The following is a 21942-nucleotide window of genomic DNA, read 5'->3' as shown; positions in this document are numbered from 1 at the left end:
AAAACCAATAAGAATTGGCAAGTACCAGGTGTGCCGGTTCATGCCTGTAATCCCAGCACTTTGGGAGGCCAAGGTGGGCAGATCACCTTAGGTCAGGAGTTTGAGACCAGCCTGGTCAACATGGTGAAACCCCATCTCTACTAAAAACATAAAAATTAGCTGGGCATGGTGGCAGGTGCCTGTAATCCCAGCTACTCAGGAGGCTGAGGCAGGGAGAATCGCTTGAACCCAGGAGGCAGAGGTTGCAGTGAGTGGAGATTGTACCACTGCACTCCAGCCTGGGCAACAGAGCAAGACTGTGTCTCAAAACAAAAAAACAAAAAACAAGAAACAAACAAACAAAAAGAATTGGCAAGCTTCCAGGAAGGTGAAGAGAGTTCTGGGCAGAAGAAAAGGCAAGAGTGAAGGCCTAAGGCTGACAAATTCCTTACCCTCTCTGAGCCTCAGTTTCCCCATCTGTAGTAAATGTTGCTGGTGGCCCACACAAGCCACAAGACACATCCCACAGTTGCTTGGAGGGCTGGCTACCAACAGCCCACAGCTGCCCCTTTGGAGAATTCGTCCTCTGCCTGGAGAACTGCATCACCTGAAATGCCTGGGAAGTGATGGTACCCCCATTCTATCTTCACTGTGGGCAGGTAGAAAGGGGTGGCTGCAGCCCAACCCAAGGATTGACTGGTACAGGGAAACAAAAGGCCAGCCCTTCCCTCATGCTGTGGTGTCACTCATGCTCCAGACATATATGGGATCAGCCTAAGCCTGGACTTCAGTGGACATGACACCTTTGCTTGATTTCCTCTCCTGTCTTCTCTGGAGACCTCTCCTGAGAGTGCTGTCTCCATGTGCACTTACACAAGAGTCTCCATCTCAGGCTTTGCTTCTGGGAATGCCACCCAGGATGGTCACCTTAAATGAAATCATGGATTTAAAGGACCTGAGAGGGCCAGGCACGGTGGCTCACGCCTGTAATCCCAGTGCTTTGGGAGGCTGAGTCAGGCAGACCGCTTGAGCTCAGGAGTTCAAGACAAGCCTGGACAACATGGCGAAACCCTGTCTCTACAAAAAATATGAAAATTATCTGGGCATGGTGGCATGTGCCTATAGTCCTAGCTACTCGGGAGGCTGAGGTGTGAGGATCACTTGAACCTGGGCAATCCAGGCAGTAGTGAGCTCAAATCATGTCCCCTCCACTACAGCCTCGGCACCAGAGAAAGACCCTGTCTACAAACAAACAAACAAGGGGGGCCTGAGACACATACTGATGGTCATGCAGTGGAAGAACACTGGACTGAGAGTCCATGGCACTGGCAGAATGAGCCCTGGGAGCATCTCTTAATACTTCCTTCCAGATATCTGGATACTTTGCTTTGTGCAAGGAAGTTAACTGTACTGTTAACAAAATACATTCATATCCATCATCTAATTTGTCTTTCAAAACAATCCCTTGGAGTAGGAGGCAGCAAGTATCATCGCACGCCTCATGGTCCAAATGAGGAAAGCTAGGGTCAGAGAGATGAGTGACTTGCTGGAACTTACTCATCTGTGTTGCTGGGACTCAGAGCTGTGACCTTGGTCACCAAGCTCTTTTACCTCCACACACCTCGCCCATCCTGTTGATTGGTGCCCCTGTACGGATTGAGCACAGATGGAGATCGAGGACTTGGCTGACTTGATGTGGCATTTTCATGCTCTCGTGAATTTGCTTTCATCTTTGCTAATTCGACCTTGAGGGAAAACATGTTAATTATGTGAATACATATAACACTTTCAAAATGTGTATCTGTGTTTTCTTTTTTCCAAACTAAATGACATATGCTGGCTTCCTTTACCTCTGAGATTCAACTAGTGCATAACAATCTAAAGGGGAAAGTAAATGAAATGGTTTGGGTACTGTTTCCGTTAGAGAATTAAGGAGGTCTTGAAGAGCCCCAGCCTCTCAGGCAAATTTGCTGAAAGATGCCGAATGATTCCAGGGAAGGAGTCCCACTCATTCTCTCCCGCCTGTGAGCTTTGAATAAGAGGGCAGAGTGACTTTGTACGTAACCTATCTGGTCCTGAAATTCTATAGGCAGAAAAAAGAATGCGTTGGCATTTGTGTGATAGCCTCTGGATTTTTCTTTCCCTGCCTCCAAGTGCACAGAAACAGGACTTTCATTTCTTGAGAGTTAATTTGCTTCAGCAGCTTATTCTCCATCTAAAGTCACAATCCTCTTTGGGGAAGCAATTGGTTATTGTGTAAAGGATTTTGAAGTTACATACTAAGGATTATGTCTCTATTTGGTGAGTAAGAAGCAGTGTCAGGAGAACTCTTAAGCACCAAATACCCAGTTTTGATGAAAATGTTCCTAGTGGAGATAAATAAGGGAAGGAGCAGTAAAATCTATGAAGTTGTTATAAGAGGGAGAATTGCTAATGAGAACTTCATCCAAATGTGGCACATCATTTTATCTATTGAGCACTGCAATGTGTTTCTGCCAGGTGTACTGGGACACTCTGGTTATAAATTGAACTTTACTGGTTTTATGAAACTCTTTTTTTCTCATTATTTTTATCACATCACTCTTGCCATAAACATAATCCCTGCCCTGCCTACCTCTGAGAACTTCAGCGAAGAACAAACGAGAAAATGTGCAAAATCACTGCATTTCTGCAGAGAAGTCTTCTCGTCACGTGTAGCTCATCACAAAACAGAAAGTCCACAGTATGGTTGTTTCACATTCCTGAGTAGTAGCATTTTAACATGGTTCTACATGAGCACTGTTTTATTTAAACATGTACACGAACCTGACCGAAATAATGCTCATGATATTAACTTAAGAAATCTAACCCAAAATGCATGATGCGGGAAAATTGCAAATTTCATAACGCTGATCATTCAGTGTCTTTCACTACTGTTTAATTTTTTATGTAAGCCACCTATTTGCAACCAGAGTTTGTTGGCCTACAATTCAGAATGTTAACTTTAGCATCACATGGTTCCAGGGAAGCCGGGCCTCTTTGCTCATGGGAGGTACGTGTGTTCTCCCATTTAGCTCTCTGAGTTAATTCATTAAACAAAAAAATGTGTCCTTATCCTGCAGGTCCCCTTTTTCCAATGGGTTACCACGGCTTCCAGCCAAAAGTTATTTTGATTAGCCTCCTTGCTTTAGTTTGGAAATAAATTCTAAGGAAAAGAACTCCAATATACATCCTGAAACCATGTGACTCCACCAGATCAGAAAATGCTACACAACTAATTGTGGGATGGACTCTGAAGCCCAGAAGTACATGCCACTCCTATTTCTGCCCATTTGCTGTAGAATATAATCATATTTTCATGAGGTGAACAGGCACACTATTGTGCTCTTAGTCAAAAGGTTCATATTTCCTCTGCATTAAAGTGAACTTTCCACCATTTTGAGCTCTCATTAGTTCTTATGAATCATTTTTCAAAGTCAGCCGTGAGTGCCCATTTATCCAAAAGCCCATGTGTGATGCTCAAATGGCTGTATATTTCCTGCACAGTGACAAGTGATGCTCTTAATGATGACTCCAAGGTACCACGAGATCCTGAAATGTCTGTACAATCGTCAGGGATAAAATAACACTCACTGCAAGCTTAGGATTAAGTGTATGTGATTTTCTTATAATTCATTGCAAAACTGATAACTCTTGTTGATATATAGGTAAGTCTGTGGTAGATAAAATATTAGCCAACAATCCTATTATCCCAGTGTCAAATAAGAAAAAACACCCAACTAATATCTTTCAAAAATAGAAGCTAGGAGAGTGACTTTTAAAACAAATCTCCGGAGAACTCAGAACTTTGATTTTTAATAGATATGTTCATGATGACTTTGCAGCCCTACGTACATTCTTTTTTTTTTTTTTTAATGTAGTCTTGCTCTTGCTGCGCAGGCTGGAATGCAACCTCCACCTCCCTGGGTTCAAGTGGTTCTCCTGCCTCGACCCCCCAAGTAGCTGGGATTACAGGCTCCCACCACCATGCCCAGTTAATTTTTGTATTTTTAGTAGAGACAGGGTTTCACCATGTTGGCCAGGCTGGTCTCAAACTCCTGACCTCAGGTGATCCACCCACCTTGGCCACCCAAAGTGCTGGGATTATAGGCATGAGCCACTGCACCCGGCCCCTATGTACATCCTTAACGCAACACAGACATGTACAAATGCATGGCCTTTTCTGAACACACACATAATTGTGGATGGAGGGAAGTGAATTTGCTGCCTGCCTGTAGGGAGAGTCAAGATGTGGCTTAGATCATAGCTCTGATCAGAAAACCCCAAGGAGGTCTACAGCCATACCACCAGTCTTAGTTTGTATTTTGTTGCTATAAAGGAATACCTGAGGCTGGGTAATTTATAAAGAAAAAAGGTTTATTTGGCTCACAGTTCTGCAGGACGTACAAGAAGCATGGTGCTGGCATCTGCCTCTGATGAGGGTCTTAGGAAGCTTCCATTCATGGTGGAAGACAAAGGGGAGCAGGAATGTGCAGATCACATGGTGAAAGAAGAAGGAAGAGAGACAGGAGGGAGCTGCCAATCTCTTTTTTACTATCAGTTCTTGAGGAAACTAACAGAGCGAGAACTCACTTATTACCATGAGGATGTCACGAAGCCATTCATGAAGGATCTGCTCCCATGATTCAGACACATTTCTTTAGGTCCTATCTCTAACACTGGGGATCAAATTTCAACATGAGATTTGGAGGGGACAAATATCCAAACTACATCACCACCCTGATCACACTCCATCTAGTCTGATCTTGGAAGCTAAGCAGAGTCAGGCCTTATTAGTACTTGGATTCGACAAAACCCCATGAGGCCCGGTTTTAGAAGGCTTTATACCCAACCCAGGAGAGTAACCACATCTTCCTCCTTACAGAAATATTCAGTGCTTCTCCATTGAGGAGTCTGTGGCCTGTCCTTGTGGGGTTGTCACCATACTGGTCTGTGGAAAGGTCTTCATGCCAGCTGGGACCCTTGGGTCTAAGATGACTTATCAGTCAGACCTATCCCCTTGGGGCAATTGGCAGTAGAGCAAGTGCCAGCATTGTCCTATGCAACACGATATATTCATTGATTTTCAGTTAACAAAGAATACTGGCTAATTGCATGGACTTTGGTGTTAGCTAGACCAGCTTTAAACCCCTTTTTTGCCAGTTACCAGCTATTTACTTACCATTGTCAAATTGCGTAACTGCTCCGAGCCTCCATTTTCTCATTTGTATATCAAAGATAATAATGCTACCAATAATATCTGCTTGCAGAGTTGCTGTGGATTAAATGAGATAATGTGTGCCACATCTTTGGCACAGTGCCTGGCACACGGTAAGCCCTCAATCAATAGTGACTTTTGACAATGAGATATCATCTCACCCCAATTAAAATGGCTTCTATAAAAAAAACAAGGAATAACAAATGCTGGTGAGGATGTGGCGGGAAAAGGGAACCCTTGTACGCTGTTGGTGGGTATGTAAATTAGTGCAACCACCATGGAGAACAGTTTGGAAGTTCCTCGAAAAACTAAACATTGAGCTACCATATGATCCAGCAATCCCACTGTTGGGTATATACCCAAAAGAAAGGAAATCAGTATATTGAAGATATATCTGCACTCCCATGTATGTTGCAGCACTATTTACAATAACTAAGATTTGGAAGGAACCTAAGTGTCCATCAACAGATGAATGGATAAAGAAAATGTGGTACATATACCACAATGGAGGTGGTGTACCACGTATACCACAATGGAGAACTATTCAGCCTTAAAAAAAATGAGATCCAGTCATTTGCAACAACATGGATGGAACTGGAGATCATTATATTCAGTGAAATAAGCCAGGCACAGAAAGAAAAACATCATGTGTTCTCACTTATTTGAGGGATCTGAAAATCAAAACAATTGAACTCATGGACATAGAGAGTAGAAAGATGATTATTAGATGCTGGGAAGCGTAGTAGGGGATTGGAGGGGAGAAGGGGGTGCTTAATGGGTACAAAAAATAGAAAGAATAAGACCTACTATTTGATAGCAAAACAGGGTGGCTATAGTCAATAATAATTTAATTGTACATTTAAAAATAACTAAGAGAGTAATTAGATTGTTGGTAACTCAAAGGATAAGTGCTTGGAGGGATGGATATCCCTTTTCCCATGATGTGCTTATTTCACATTGCATGCCTGTATCAAAACATACCATGTACCATGTACCACATACATATATACACCTACTAAGGACCCACACAAATTTTTTAAAAAATAAAATAAAAACACCAAAGCGGGTAAAAAAGAGAGAGTGACTATTGTTTTTATCTGGCAACTTTCCACAATCAAATATACATATATACATGTGCAGGCTTCCTTTATTCTTGCTGATTTAATAACCTAAAATCATTTTCTCACTCATTATTATAATAATAATCACTATTACAATTACTGCTTATTCATGACACCTCAAATTATGGTAATTATTGTTTTTATCCTGCTCTCACAAATGTCATTAATAACTACCAACCATTAGTTGTCATTAATAATTTCCAACTTAATGACATCTCACCTCACGTGCAGGATAAATGAGGTTTGTTTTCTTAGTGCCAAGGGCTGGCCATAAGTGAAGGATGTGTCTCTATTAAGCAAAAATCCACTGCAATGTTCAAAGTGAGTTTGTTTTCTGCTCTGAACTAAACACAATAACGGACTGAATTTAATGTCCAGCCTAAAACATTTGAAAAGATCCTCTTCTGAAAGCAAACATTCAAGGCTATGAGAAGTGTGTGAAATCATGTATACTGGGCAGGAGTATGCCGCCCACAGTTCTGTGGGCAATATTCTGGAAGAAATAACTGGGTTGGTGTGTTTGTTTTAAAGCTATATGAAATATCAACTCACTTTAATAAACTCTCCATAATAAATGCATGAGTCTATGGGTATATAAGCTAAATCTCATTAACTTCCATATTTTTCCAAATTATTTTATTTACTAGGATTTTGCTAAAATTAAATACAGTACGTGGGATAGAAACCAGAGCGTGGGGCTTCAGCTTCTGAGAGAATAAACTACAGTGAAACGTGGCTTCACTTGAGCCGTGAAATGACATGTTGTTAGAGCGACAAATGAGAGATGAAGAATGACCAGCATTCCGTGTGGGTTCTAGACTTTTGATTTCCTTCCCCACCACGTCCCATGCAACTTTCTTTAGCTGCCGGGGTGAAGAGACAGTGGCAATCAGCATGTCCTGGAGAGGACACAGGATGGGGAGGGACAGGCAGTGGGGCTCAGGTGCCCTTCCTTCACCCCCTCTTTGAGGGGGTACCCTAAGTTGGCATGGCCATTCTCACATGTGCAAAAGCAGCTGGATCCATCCCTGAAATGATTTTCCGCTCATGCAATTTCTATACTCTTGCTTTGTTCCCTGAAGGGTAATAATGCGGACTTCTCAAGGTCAGGGACTAAGTTGTACTCAGGTTGGTAACTCCAGCGCGTCACACAGGGCCTGGTGAACAGATGGTGCCCTCTAAAGATTCCTGAATAAAAAGGCAACTGTGCAGAGTACATCCAAAAGTGGGTGGGTGTAGCATGGAAACGTGTGGGGCAGAAGAGAAAAAACAGCCTGGGGCTCTTTCTGGTCCTATAAAACAGACTCAGGTCACCGTGGGTCATGGCTACCTTTTCCCACTTTGATTTCTGTGTGGTAGAGAGAGGTTTTCGGTCAAACCATTTGAAAATCCATCCTTGTCAATCAAAATGTTCAAACATCTACAATTTAAGTTTCAATCAAATGGTAGGCAGAGGGGTTAAAAACACTTATTTCAGATGCAGAAATCTGAGTTTGAATTCTGACCTCTCTGCTTAGAACCCATGTGACATTGAACATGTTACTCCACATTTCTCAGCTTCCATTCCTTTGTGGACCTGCGTAGTTGTCAAGTTGTAACAATAACACATTGCCTGTTTAGCTGCTACTATACCTTCTCCAAGGTTTTAGCACTCAGACCTGGTTCTATTCCTTTTTTTTCTTTTTTCTTTTCTTGTTTTTTTTTTTTTTTTTTTTTTTTTTTGACTGAGTCTTGCTCTGTCACCCAGACTGGAGTGCAATGGCGCTTTCTCGGTTCACTGCAGCCTCCACCTCCCAGGTTCCAGCAATTCTCCTGCCTCAGCCTCCCAGGTAGCTGGGATTACAGGCACGTGCCACCATACCTGGCTAATTTTTGTATTTTTAGTAGAGACGGGGTTTCACCATGTTGGTCAGGCTGGTCCTGAACTCCTGACCTCAGGTGATCCATCCGCCTCAGCCTCCCAAAGTGCTGGGATTACAGGCGTGAGCCACTGGGCCCAGCTGGTTCTATTCCGTTTTATTTGTCCTCTATAGTCCTAAAGGTAGATCATGGCCATATTTTGTTAGTTACTACCCCACTCTGCAGTGTACTTTCTGCATGATGTTAGTCATTATACTGTTTGTCATTTTAAAATAAGATTGAACTAGAAGCTTAAAAACAGTCATTCTGTTGGTTTTTCTATTAAAATCAGAAATTTTAATACAGGCGGAAAGTATTTTTTGGTATTTAATTATTCAAACTAATGGGATTTTTAAAAACCATTATGATTGACAAAGGGCTGAGGCTTACAATATTTTCTTTTACAGATATATGCTGCTTTAATGAAACCCAATATGCAAAAATCTAAACTTAGGTAAATTGGAAGCTTTATCTAGGCTTATATTGTTTACATTACAAAAGGGCTATTCTGCTTCACTAAAGCATTTATTTCAGTGTTCCTTAAAAAGTGAGATCTCTGTGGTGCATTTAGAATACAACTTGAATGATTACCAGGTTATTTATACACAGGTGTTTTGTGTAAAGCAAGGTTCACCTGGGGAGAGGGTTGGGCTGCACTAGGAATGACTCTGTATTGTGTAATCAGCCAATGAAGAGGAATTGAGAAAAGATTTTGAGTGACATCCTCGTAGAAGGTAAGAAAGGTTCAACATGCGACTTTCAGGGCCCTATCTCATCTTGATGTGAAGGCATCTGTCAAATGTACCATTATATCTCTTTAGCTTAAACGGAGCAGTGTTTAGCGATTAAAGTAATGGAACATGATTCAGGAGTCGTGTTTTCTGTTTCTGTCTCCTGTAGCTTCCAAGTAGGTAGTCTTGACGTGTTCACTTTAATGCCAGTTCACTTTAAAGCAATTATTTCCATCCTAGGTGAGGCAGTAAAATCTTGTTAATGTTTTTAATAGCCTGTGAACTCTTCAGATGAAATATCTGGCCTTTGTGCCCTCCTCAGCTTGTGAACCAATTGCCAGCAAGCCCTCTATTCACCATGTGTCCTCACCTTTAAAAAGAAAAGAAATGGTTACACACATCAAATCATGAGTAGTGGAATTAAGAAACAAAAAGAACTGTCACCCAAACTGTACATAAAAACTTTCCCAAACAGCTTTAGTAAATAAAACTTTAAAATCTGTTAAGTGGACAGCAACCTGTCACTAAAGCTGTTGTACAGGCTATTTTATTCAGAAGAATTTGTTAAACATATATCAGCAAGTCAGGGCCAGTTTGTGTAGCTAGCGAAAAGACAGAAATATCCTCATTATATAGAAATGGGCAAAATACTGACTATATCTCACAATCTAAATTATGAGCGTTTGAAAGTAGAGTTTTGATGATTTCAGACCTATGGTCTTTGAAAGTAAACACTAGTTCTAGAATTGCAGTAGAATCAGATTTTTTGATATAATCATTTAAATATATAATTGCTTTACTTATCTATGAAGGGAAAGCAAACTATCTTTAAAAGAAAACAAAAGGGATGTGATAGATGTGTATTCAAAGGAAAAGGAAGAAACCCACATAATGAATTAAAGCTAAGGCTTAAGTAGATAAGCTATCTCCCTTCCTTTTGCTTCTAAGAGTGGAATGTATTCATTTATTCCTACTTTTTAAATGTAATATGAAACCAACCTCCTCAGAACACAGAACAGTTCCTGAAACAGAATAGCCACTCAATAAACGAGTGAGTTGGCATTTTTGGAAGTGCTGTATCTCCATATGCTCAATGTGGGTATGGTGCCATACAAAGGCAGGATGGGAAGTGCAGACCAGGCCCTATCCCAGTCACACTAGCAGCTAGCACAGGTGGTTGGTTAGCAGAGACCCAGGACCCATCATTGCACCCCAGCTAGGGGCAGCCACCCATGGGCAGCAGAATTCCTGGGCAGGGTATTGATGAAAGCAGGATTTTTGAGTCCCAGAGAGAATGGACAGAGAGACATGGGAGTAAGGAGAGGAAACCTGGTTGCAGCCAGGCTAGAAACCAGTGAGTCTTGATGCGGAGTCCCTGATATCTGAGGTCAGGACCTGTCCTGGGAACTCACATCAAGTTGAACTTGAATATGGAAGACCACTGTTCCCAGCTCTGGGGCAAGGGACTACGTTAAGGTTGGGAATTTAGCAATGACATGGAGTTAGCATGTCTATGGTTTCCTAGGTGGTGAAAGAAATAAGAAAGTTTTTAAAATCTACGATCTGATTATGTCTCACTGAGTGCTACTAATTTACATATCAAAACAGAATAATTATGAACAAGGGTTATTTAAATTAAGGCTTTCTCTAAGCATTCCATTAATGCTGGTCCCAGAAATAATCTAGAATAAATATTTTGTTTTTTCCTTTAATGAAGAAGGCTTTCCCTACTCTCTATCAGGAAGGCATGAAATAGACAGTACCCTTAAGCTAGGTAATTTGAGGAGGGTTTAATAGAGGGACTATTTACAAAAATGTAAATTGGATTTAGGAAACCAAAAGGTATAGTGCAGTTCCCCTTACTCGCAATAGCAGGCAGCCATTCCAGCTTCAGACATGAAGGGTGGTGTTTGGAGAGGGTTTCCTGCTTAAGTCTTTGTCGAGAGATAAAGGATGGGAGGCAGTGGGGAAATAAACACCCCAATCATAGTATCGCCTCACCCATTCATCTCCCGCCACCCCTCTCACTGGCTGAACCCAACCCAAAGCCAGAGGGCACACAGACCAGCCTCCCAGGCAGAGCTGGATGGAGAAGGGCAGAGAGCGGACCTGGCGGGCAAAGGGAAGCCAACACAACTCTCTGGGAAATTAATCCATATTAAGAAACTGATACTGTTTAGCTGCATACCAGATACCAGGAAGAAAACTTTAAAAAAAGAAAATATATATACTGCAAAGACATTGCAGAATGGATAAAAATATTAATTTGGAGAAATAGATGAAATCAGCTCTATTTGACTTTTCAGCACATTTAATATTGGTAGTACATTTCATAAAAGCACCCAAAAGGTAGGTGTCTTTGGTTAGACTGCAAACTTCCTGAGGGCAGGACCTGGACTTTATTCCTCATCCTTCACAACCAATACTGTGCCTGGCACATATCATGTGTTCGGTAACCACTTGTGGAGTGATTACATACATGAATAAATTAATGAATGAAGTATATTCTGGTTTATTTTTCTTGTCAAAGGAAGCCTTATCCAAAAAGAAAAACAATCACAGAAAACCTCATTGACCATCTACCCCCATGTTTGAAAATTCTTCCTAAACTATAACATTGGTTGTTCCTGCCATTCTAAGAGGATTACACTAAGCATGAAGGAGTATTTTTTGGTTGACTTAGAATCCAGCAATACTTGGGGCTGTCATTCTAAATTGTAGATGTGGGCAACAGGGCTGATTTTCAAGATACTCATGGCTTTTAAACACAAATAAATAAACATGTGGGAATTGCCATACCAGATCAGACTGATGGTTTATTCTGTTAAGAATTCTCTGCTAGGGGCACATGTTCCACACTTTTCCTTAAGTGTAAACTCTGATTAATTTAGGATTGGAATTAGTTAGATTCCAATGGGTAGAGATTTTATTTATCCACCAAAAAATTTTTTTTTTCTGACGCTATCATATTTGAGTTCTCTTCTGGTGTTTTTCCAATGTCACTAAACAATTTAACTTAAATTGTCTCTGGACTGTATTTTTTAATTAATATTTTTCCTATTTGAAAGAGAGTCAAACAATTAGGTCATGTTATCTTATTCCTTCTTCCCAATAGTAGATGAAATAATTGCAATTCTCTTTTAAACTTTCTGTCTCTATGATTCAAGTTCCCTAGTAATGTCGCCAGTTTGATGGCTCTTTGACAAACTCCTCCAAACCTCTCATAATCTTGAAAAAAAAATGAGGGCCATTGACCTGGCCACCTTTGGTGTTCTGAGGACAGTCTGGGCCAGGGTTCTGTCACAGGTGTGGATTGATCAGAGAACATTGACTTTCACACCTAAAAAGAAGCTTATAACTCAGCTTATGTGGGTTTCCCTGGTTAACTTTGTTTAATGCTAGGGTAATTTTCTGACAGTGGCCTCTGGTAATTTTCTGTGGTCTACACCTCTTGTCCTTTCAGAAATCTGGCTTTTAACACTGATTCTATTCTGTTTCCAAAGTAACAAATCATTGCAGGCACATGGAAATCTCCCAGCTTTCACAACTCTTTAAGTCTCCCCTTCCACTGTTTCTAAAAGAAAATTTCTCCTCCTATTCCCTATACTAGACTTTGAAGTCACTTCTATTTTTTGGTTGCTGTAGAAAGACTGATCCCCCTGCTGCGGGAAAGAGCCTTTGTAGACACACAGATTCATCAAATCTCCCCTAAAACCTCTGGTAGAACTAATGATGTGGCCTTTTTAGTCTGTGTCTTTTATCCTTCTCTTCCCTTCTTCCCAATCCCATTTCTACTTCCCATCATACCCAAGCCATTTTTGTGGCTAACCTTTGAACCCTCTACAAACCACCATTTGTGGCTTCATTTTGAACTCTCTACAAGTTCTTTAATTCCCTCCCTAGTTTAGTTCTGACTTCTTGAAGAAGTGACAAACTATACTTTAATAAGAGGAGAAAATAAAATCTAAATTATACTATATATATGAAGATATGCATAAACAAAAAAGTTAAAAATCAAAAAATAGATCAGCAAAAAATTAATAAGATAAAAATTTCATCTAATCCTATTATTCAGAGACAACCGTTGTTTCCATTTTGATATATACAAATAGTCTTTTCTCAAACAACCATATGTACGTGTTTTTAATAAAATAGGACAATACTATTTATAACTGTCTTTTTATCTCTTCTAAATAATACATTGAAGATATTTTCCATGTCAATCTTTTACATCATTTGAAGTGACTGCATCCAATTCCATTTTGTCAATGTTCATAGTTTATTCAACAACGATCTCATTGTTCTGATTTTCATCTCATTACAGATGCTCTAATGGTCACCTCTATGCCTAATATTTGCACTTGCCAACATAAACAAATAGCTCTAGGTGGAATTACTGTATCAAAGAGCATGCAAAATAGTGGGGACTTCTATACAAATCAACCACGTGGCTGAGATTTGGAATCTGATCTCCTGGAAATATTGAGAGTTTGAGGTAAGGGGAAAGATAAGAAAAGGAGGCTGTTTTGGAAGAATGGGAAGAACATGATTAATGAAGGAGGCCTGAAGGCATTCAGGTAAAGAAATCAGAGATTTGGAAGCTTCACTTATAAACCAAACATCCGGAGGAATGGGGTTCATAGAACACTTCAGAAATCTTAGTCTCCTCCCTGACTCAACTGAAAAACCACCTTTATAGATGGACGACACCTCAGCACTTCCCCATTTATCTCTTGGCATGTTTCCTCAGTGAAACATTTCTCAGATGAAAAACAGATTGCAACATCATGGTCTCAATAGAAAACACAGAGAGAGAGAGCGAGAGATTTTAAAAAGAGAGAGGATTTTAAAAAAAGGAAATTCAAAAGTCAGCATTGTTGATTTCATATAGCATTGCAAATTCCACCCCAACAAATCAAAGCTGCAGTAGGGTGTATACAACCACCATTCTCATGACCTTTGAAATTAGAGATGTGGGATGGCTGTTCTGGCATGTTTGTCTCCTTTGTGACTAGTCCAGTAAGGGTGTTGTCCCAGTTGTCTTAACATCTGATTGAAATAGAACCTTGGAATAAATATAGCAGACTGAGATTCTCCTTTCAGAACAGTTCACAAATACAACTGGGCTGAGGGAGGGACTTTGAGACTGTATCCAATGATGCCATTTTAACCACGGGTTGAGGAAATTAATAATAAAAACTAACATCCTTTGTCTTAGGTGGCCATAGAACATGTCCTCAATTCTGGACCCACATATCGCTTCAAGTCTGAATGACCCTGGAACCCAGAGCAAACATAAGGCACACCCACAAAAGAAGGAAGAGAAGGCAGAAGGAGACTAAGAATAGGAGAAAAGTAAAGAAAAGAGAAGGAGAGAAAAGAAAGAAGTGCAAATGGAAAGAAAGTAGAGAAACTGCTTCACTGCCATCAGTGGCATGAGAATAATGATTTGTTTATCCTGCTCTAAAGAATTCCTGTGCCAGAGGCCTTGAGATATTATAGTCTCTTCTCATCCATAAGAAAAAAAACATTTTCATACAGTTTGCAGTTTGCATAGCACTGGCCCTTAATACACACACACACACACACACATACACACACACACACACAGAGTACTTAAATGGTCTCCCAGAAACAAACAGAGTGAATGTCAAGTCCTTGATGAACTGGTCTGTGATAAGCCAAACATGGAAACGCAGAGGGAATGTACTTCTAGGAAGTCCAATCATTGGTACATTGTGTTGCCTTCAAGGGCGTGGTTCCAACACAACCTGAGTGCAGGATGTTTGATACCCATTCTTTTTGAGTGGGTTCTTTAGCAACAACTTCTCCTAAATGGTAAGCCCTACTTCTCAACACTGTCATCCAGGGTGGAGAGATGCTACAGCTGACAGCAGTGACTGGCAGGAGCCTGGAAAAGTACAATAATATTCTAAGTTGTCTTTAGTCTTATTTTTATTTAGGCTAATTTGCATGAGTGGTTTATGCCAAATGAGGATATTTTTCCTTCTCCTTGGAATAGCTTTATGTGAAAATATCACTCTTTTCAAAGTGCCCAAATATTACTGTGCTGAATAATGAGGCAGATGGAAAATAGGAAGGGTGGAGCAAGTTCAAAATGCTTTATGGTTGGCAGAATAGATGAGCTTTTCAGATTTCCAGCCTCCCTCTACTTTATTCATCTGACAGCACTGTCTGCTCCACCCTGCAAGGATGCAAGGACCAGAGAGGTTCCTGGCTCTCAGCTTCCAGAGGAGCCACATCAACCTCTACAGCCTCCTACACACAACCTATTCAAAGGACATGTGGCAGCTGTCTGTCCCCGGGCTTAGTGTGACGCATTCTAAGGAGTGAACACGCCCAGGGAAAGCTTCCAGGCTGTGGGACATTGCTGCTTGCAGAATTCTGCCTGAAGCATCAACCTTTTTCCAAAAAGAGTATCCAAAATTCAGTGCATTATGGATTCTTAGAAAATGGAAGATTACAAGGAGTTTTTAATCCCTTTCTGAGCAGACAGAAGCAGGAAGCAACCACCAGCTAAATATTTGACTAAATCCAGTTCACAGTTTTGTGTTGCTGGTAACACGGGTATGTCTGCTCCATCCCCAGAAGGGCAGCTGCCATATAGACGGGTTTCAGTGTTGTTCCCCGGCTCCAGCGTGCCTGCCTCTTCTCCCTCTACCCAAACCTAAGCCACCCACCGAGGCCCACGTGAAATGTCAGCAGCAATTCCAGGAAACCTCTCCCGTGTAGACGCCTCCTTTCTGTACCAGTCCTCTCCACTAAACAATTTAGAGATTAATAATGTAGCAACAAGAGAGAGATTAAAAAGCCATCTGGTAAGCAGGCCCTGACACAGCTTAAAATACCCACAAAACCAAAAAGAGATGAGAACTCACAGTAAAAGCAAGAACTTGGGAGTCAGACAAGTTTGAGTTCAATTTCTAGACCTGCTACTTACTAGTTATGCAGTTTTGGGGGTGTTTACATAACCATTTCATGCTTCAGTTTTGGAATAATAATAGTACCTACTATTTTTTGAGATCAGTTGATAGTAATTCTAAACAGTCTAATATAAGTAGCATAAAGATTCGCTATTGCAACTACTGCTTTCACGGCTGGGATGGACCACCTATTGCCGATCCCTCAGGGGAGCCCCACTAACTTCATGACTGATGGAACTAGATTGAAAAGGCTCTGGGTGGTCCACTCATGTCTGACTGGCTGATGTAATCAACAAGAGCCTGCACATGGGCAGGAGGGTCCCTGACCCTCAGTCTCTTCCTGGATGTCAAGAGCTCACAGGGCCAGAGTTCATTCATTCATTCCCTCAATGTTTGTGCTATTATGTGCTGGGCACTTATCTAGGAGCTGGATATAGAGCAATGAACAAAGCTGATAAAAATCCCTGCCCTCGTGGACCTTACACTCTAATTGAGAAAATAGGCATAAAAGTAAAATCTATGGCATCCCAAAGGCATAGGCAGTGCAAGGATGGTATCATCTATTTGAGATAGGGTGGCAGGATGACCTTAGTGAGAAGGTGATGTTTGAATAAGGCTATGACACCATCCCACTTCCTCCCAACATCCCTTCTCCTCAAGAGTTCTTCTCTTTCTATATCCATAGAACTTAGCAAGCACAGGAGCCATGAGCTACTTCTGCAGGCACAACACATGATCAGGAGGGGGAGAGATGATCCAGCTCCTGGCCAGCCCCAGTGTAGAGAGAAATGGTCCCATTAGTCCTGATAGAGAGAGACATGTCCTGCTGATATGGCAGGGACAAGGAGGGTCACTGAGGGGCCCCAGGCAGCAGCAGCAGCAGCAGCAACAGCAGGTGGTGATCAAAGAGTTCCATGTAGGCATCTCCAAAGGAGTTCTAGGGTGGGGAGGATAGCCCTGCAAAGTGGTTCTGACCACTTTTTGGGGAGACAGGTAAACATCCCTTGGCAGCTATGGCTCAAGAAAGTGGAGGGTGGTGACTACAAGGACTGAGAATGCTGCGGACTGAGCCCTCTTGCAGGCAGCGCCCCCCTGGAGACCACAGAGCCTGATGCTGCTAGCACCCGGTTGTGCTGGGAGGTGGAGACGCACAGCTGAGACTTAAGTTTGGTTGCCATCATCATTCCTTCCACCTCTTGGCTTTCCCTTCCAAAGTGGTGGCCCAAAAAGCATCCGTCACGGAAAATGTCTCTTGTTGTTTTTATTTATTAGATTTATATTCTATGTAAGACGACTTTAAGCATCTTGAGGGCAGAGACCAATTCTTACACTCCAATGCCCAAAAAAACTCCCTTAGGGCTAAGTAATCATCATAATAGCTGACACTTCTTGAGCATTGCCACATGCCACTGTCCCAAGTGCTTCATGGGGATTAGGGCTTTTAACTCTCACACCTCTCAGTGAGGTGGTAGCTTTATTATCTCCAGGTGAGGAGATGGAGGCACAGAGAGGTGAATACCTTGTCTGAAGCCACTCAGCCAGGAAGTGGCAGTTTGGCTGTAGCAGTAATGCTACTGGCTGAGTCTCACCCCTGCCGCCCCACAAATCTGTTATTGAAGTCCTGAGCCCTGTTACCTCGGCTGTATTGAGAGACAGGGTCTTTAAAGAGGTATAAGTTAAAATGAGGTTGCTCCTGTGGACCCTAAACCAATATAGGTTATGTGGTGTCCTTACAAGAAGAGGGAATTTGGACACAGACAGATACAGAGGGAGACCCCGTGAAGGCACAGGGAGAAGATGCCATCTGCAAGCCAAGGAGAGGCCTCAGGAGAAACCACCCTGCTGACACTTTGATCTTGGACTTTCTGCCTCCAGGACTGGAGAAAATAAAGTTCTGTTGCTGCTTAAGCCAACATGGTGGCTTCACCCAATCTGTGGTATTCCATTACGGCAGCCCTAGAAAATTAATGCAGGTACCTAGTATTTTAGAAAGACCTGGAAGGCATTGCTTTATTTATGAGGTCACTCAATCTGGCCCTGCCGTCTCTCCTGTGTTACTGTGTGGAGGTGGCGTCTCTGGGTCCGAGGCATCTGGCATCCAGCAGCCTGAGATGCCCATGGTTTCCTCAGTGCTACATGTGCCCTACTAGGTAGAAACATTCATCCTCATCACACAGAAACTGTTATTCACTGGCTTACACCTGATACAAATCATGGAACTTGGCTTTTTCATTCATCCGTTCATTAATTCATGGAACCAATAATTATTCCATGCCTGCAATGTCTCAGGCACTTTCCTGAGTACTGGGACTGTAAAGGTGACCAGAAACGTGTTACAGTCTCAGGGAAGTAATCGTACAAATACATGTAAAATGTATTTTAATCAAGTAATCAATCAAGTAATATAAAATAATCAATGTGGTAAGAATTTAAAAAGACAGACGCCATGTGATGGAAGCAGAAAGTAGGGGGAGTTGGCCAAGTAAGTGGGGGTCAGCAAAGGCGTGAGCCTCTGGAGATGGGGAAGATGGGCTGTAGTTAATTACACAGAGAAGACACAGGGAGTATCCAGCAGGGGAGACAGCAGGGCCGAGACCCAAAGGAAACAACCCAACACACACCAGCCCTGCCTCTCAGATGCTTGCAGAATGGAGGGAAAAGGGAAGGAAAGGAGGAAGGAAGCAAGATGAGGAGAAGAAAAGATAGAGTAGAAGAAGGAAAGTCAAAGGGAAGAAGGAAACCAACATTAATTGAAACGTACTACATTCCCGGCCATGTGCTAGGCATCTTCACATGGTTCAGTTCATATTTTCAGCCATAATAAGAAACAGCTCAACAGGACCGAGAGGAGAATGAGTGCCTCCTTATATTTTAGCCCCCAGGTGCCTCCCTTGCCTCAAGGTCACCCAAGCCCGCAGCTCTAGACTAGACACATGTTTCCATATCCCTGTGGCCTGGGCCACCAGCAGGAGGCCACCCCACTGTGCTGCAGCAAGCCCTCTCTCTGAAGCCCAGCACAGGAGCAGCGTTCTCTGAAAGCCTCACACAACCAGTTAGGCGCCTGGACAGTCCCCGCAGCTGAGCTACCACAGCCTGTGCATTCCATTGTCTCTGCAGCCTCCCTGCAGGACTTTGAACAAAGCCCGGGGGGCTGGTGAGGATAACAGAAGGTCAAGAATTGGTGGAATGTGATAGGATGTGCTGAAGGATTCAGATTCTCAGGAAAAGTCCAAGATAGCAGCAAGAATTTATAGCTCAAAACCAAGACCTGGAATACAAGCAGAGAGATAAACTGGGCTATTTTAAATTGCTGCCCAAGAAGTGCTTTTGTGCTATATATATACCAACAGAAAAAGAGAGAGAAAAGCTCAGATCAAAAATATTTTAACATACATTTACTTGCCACTTTCAAAAGGCCTGGTAACACTTAGGTCAGAGGAATTCCTTCTATTTTCTATAATCTATCACAGTGCTTAGCACTGTCATTCTCCCACCTCCTTTACTAAAGAACACAAGTAACAGCTAAATGAATTTTGTTAACCCAATATCTCCAAAAGTATGATTGAGAGCCTTGTCTTTTACCTAGATCAGCATCTATATTAAAGTCCACAAGATAATTTTTTTAAACATCTAAAGCTGGGAAAAGCTTTGCTTCCTTTCCAGTAATAAGAGCTATAGAACTTGCTAAGTTTTCCCTTTTACCATGGCTCGGAGTCATGATTAAAGTTCAACTGTTGCAATTATGTTGACCGTTATGCTTAACAATTACCATTTCTTTTATCTGGTTGTGGTTTTCTCTTTCCTATTTCTCTTTGCTATTTACCATATTCCTCTTTCCTATTTACCATATTCCTCTTTCCTATTTACCATGGCTTCCATGAACATATTTTTGTTGTAGGTTGTTGCACCTTCTTTGAGAAGGGAGTGTAAACAGAAATCAAACAAGTTCTATTATCTGCCCCTGGGCCAAGCTTCTCAAACTAAGAATTCCTGTCCTTGGTCATTGCTTTAAAAGCCTTAGCCACTCTGACATGACAGAGATACCTTACCTTTCACCTCTAGTTCTCACAGGAAATAATTTGAGTGCAGAGTATATTATCTATTGCTATATAACAAATTACCCCAAAGCTTAGCAGCTTAAAACAATAAACATTGATTATCTCACACAGTTTTCGTGAGTCATGAATGTGGGAGCCACTTAGCTGGGTGGTTCTGGCTTAGTCTCTCATAAGATTGCAGCAAAGTCATTGCCCACGGCTGCAGCATCTGAAAGCTTGACTGGTGCTGAAGAGTCTGCTTCCAGGGAGGCTTGCCACACTCCTGGTAAGGGAATATCGGTTGTGAGGGGTGCTCAGTTTTTTTCCACATGGGCTCCTCCATACAGCTGCTTGAGCATCTCACAACATGGCAGCTGGTTCCCCCCAAGCAAGTGATCCAAGGGAGACAGCAAGAACAAAGCTGCAGTTCCTTTTATGACCTAGCGTACGGGGTAACACATCATCATTTCCACCACATTCTATCCATAAGAAGTGAGTCACTAAGCAGAGACCACACTCAAAGGGAGGGTAATTAGCCTCCACCTTTTGAAGGAAGGAGTATCAAAGAATTTATGGACCTATTTTAAAACCACCACTCAGATTATAAAACTATTTTCTTTTTTTTTATGTAGGTATAACCAAGGCACAACTTGGTATTTGACATTGCCTTTACCTAGCTGCAAACTGGGGTAGAAAAAAACATGAAGGTTGGGCACGGTGGCTCACACCTGTAATCCCAGCACTTTGGGTGACTGAGGTGGGTGGGTCACCTGAGATCAGGAATTTGAGACCAGCCTGGCCAACATGGTGAAACCCCATCTCTACTAAAAATGCAAAAAAACCTAGCTGGGTGTGGTGGTGGGCACCTGTAATCCCAACTACATGACAGGCTGAGGCAGGAGGATCACTTGAACCCAGGAGGCGGAGGTTGCGATGAGCCGAGATAGCGCCACCACATGCACTCAGCCTGGGTGATAGAGTGACACTCCATCTAAAAAAAAAAATAAAAGCATGAAAAAGAAAATGTTTTTTTCCCAAATGATATTCTGCCAGCCATCATGCTGAAACTGCATGGATCTATGACATTCTAAATATAGTGTCTTAGTCTGTTCAGGGTGCTATAACAAAATACTTAAAACTAAAAAATTTATAAACAATAGAGAATTATTGCTCAGAGTTCTGGAGTCTGGGAAGTCCAAGATCAAGGCACCAGCAGATTCACTGTCTGGTGAGGACCCATTCCTCATAGATGGTGCCTTCTGGCTGAGCCGTCACATGGCAGAAGGGATGAACAAGCTCCCTCAGGCCTCTTTTATAAGGGCACTAATCCCATTCATGAGGGCAAAGCCTTCATGACCTAATCACCTCCCAAAGGCCCCATCTTTTCATATCATAACTTTGGGGGTTAGGTTTTAACATACAAATTTTGGGGGGACATAAACATTTAAACCATAGCACACAGGCATATGTGTGTGTGAGAGAGAACATGACTCCAAATGGAGTGAGAATAAGAGACAAGACAAAGATTTTGAAAGGAAAGAAAGGAAACTATGTTCTCAGCCAATCTTAAAGGTCAGCCCCACTTGAGACAGAATAGAAGACTAAAACTAAGGTGCCAAGGTCTAACGTATCCATAAATTACTCTCATCTTTTGTCAAACCTTCTAGTTAGACCTCGAGAGAGAAACTAGAAGGTAACCAGAACAAGGTTACCAGTAAGAACTGAGTTCATCTCTGACGGGAATTACAGATGCTGGCGAAGGGGAGTGGGAGGCCTTAGTCCCAGCTCGGATTGTTGTAGAGCCATGTTGCCAGGGGAAATCCTGTAACTCCAGTTGGCCAGATGCTGAGTGCCTGATACCTCCCTGCTGCTATTCTGAATCCATGTGGCAGTGATACTTAGCATCTCATTCATCTAGAAACTGACCCCTCATAGTCAGGGAGGCCTCAAGAAAATGGGAAAGCTTTCTTATTCATCTTAATAGGCCACCACTCT

At 42.0% G+C, this 21942-nt stretch overlaps 1 long non-coding RNA gene and 1 pseudogene across 1 annotated transcript; one reads left to right on the top strand and one right to left on the bottom strand.

The window, feature by feature from the left end:
• RNA5SP169 (RNA, 5S ribosomal pseudogene 169) lies at positions 4719-4835 on the top strand (annotated as a pseudogene).
• On the bottom strand, positions 6956-20355 carry LINC03074 (long intergenic non-protein coding RNA 3074). Its single transcript, NR_183803.1, has 2 exons — positions 20076-20355; positions 6956-9336 (listed from the first exon to the last, which is right to left on the bottom strand). It is a non-coding gene; the product is annotated as a long intergenic non-protein coding RNA 3074 (long non-coding RNA).
• Between the last annotated feature and the right edge of the window lie 1587 nt (positions 20356-21942).

Source organism: Homo sapiens, chromosome 4 (genome assembly GCF_000001405.40).
Source record: "Homo sapiens chromosome 4, GRCh38.p14 Primary Assembly".
NCBI classification, from domain to species: domain Eukaryota; kingdom Metazoa; phylum Chordata; class Mammalia; order Primates; family Hominidae; genus Homo; species Homo sapiens.
This window is presented reverse-complemented; position numbering and strand designations above follow the sequence as displayed.